A 1,089-nucleotide genomic window follows, 5' to 3' on the forward strand; every position below is an offset into this window, starting at 1 on the left:
ACGCAACTTGGCTAGGAGGAAATAGGCTCAGTGGAGGGCTGGCCTTGGAGAACTCATCTTAACAAAGTGGAGACAAAGTTATTTTGGGAGGTCATGTAAGCAGAGTGATTATCATCATGGGGTCTGGGATCAAAATCCCAGCTCCAGCCTTCACTAGCTGTGTGACCTTGAGAAAGTTACTTAACCTCCCTAAACCTCAGTTCCTAATCTCTAAACAGAGGCAGTGATCATAATAGTATGGACATCTAGGAACATGGTGAGGAGTAAATAAAATAATCCATGTTAAGAATTTAGTGTCTGGCATACAGTAAGCGCCCAACAACTGTTAGCCCATATTCTGTAGTTACAGGTCACTGTTCCAAACCCCTCAATTTACAGAGGAGGCTCAGCAAGTTGAAGGAACATTTACTCCTGCCTTCACACGTAGCCATATGCATATGCAGACACAAAGCCACAGAGCTCCGTGTGTGCAAAGACCCCCTGTTTGATTTTAAAACCCTTGTGATCAGGGCTTTACTATCTAGCTATGAAAGTTTGGTTTATCTCAAAACTTTGATTTAAAAAACACGTCAATTAACCTAAGTTTGACCCTGAGAGCCCACAGGCTTAAAAACAAAAGCTAAAAAACAGGAACTGAAAAAGTTAAAAAAAAAAAAAATGTGAGCAAAACTAAGTAAACAGCATGCACACTTTTCTACTTTTCTGCTAAGAAAATCCTTAACTTTGTATTTCTTGAATCCTGTTTAAAATATATTTGGCTTTCTTTTGCATCAAATGTGGACCATCATAACCATCATCCAAAGACCACTGCACTTTAAATAATGATCCACGCTTTTACTTGGCCTTTCACAGGCTGGAACCAATTACCAAATTTCTCTCCCCACCCCCCCACCCCCACCCACCAGCACATTTCTGCCTTTGCAGCTCTGATTACTAGAGTTGAACACATTTGAGCAGTTCATTAGACAACAGTCCAAAGCTTCAGGGCAACTTGGGGGCCACATTCACATAGAATTCAGAGTTTGCAGCCTGCCAGCCAAGCACGCTCCCTCATGCATGCTGCTGCTGAGCAACTCCCAGTCCCATAGA

At 42.2% G+C, this 1,089-nt stretch overlaps 1 annotated feature.

Annotated features, from left to right (window-relative positions):
- Positions 586–735: an enhancer, noted in NCBI's record as "active region_22570". NCBI's record gives its function as "activates an Ori minimal core promoter by ATAC-STARR-seq in GM12878 lymphoblastoid cells {active_cell/tissue: GM12878}" and the evidence as "EXISTENCE:reporter gene assay evidence [ECO:0000049][PMID:35858748]".

This window comes from Homo sapiens, chromosome 5 (assembly GCF_000001405.40).
Source record: "Homo sapiens chromosome 5, GRCh38.p14 Primary Assembly".
Classification (NCBI taxonomy): Eukaryota; Metazoa; Chordata; class Mammalia; order Primates; family Hominidae; genus Homo; species Homo sapiens.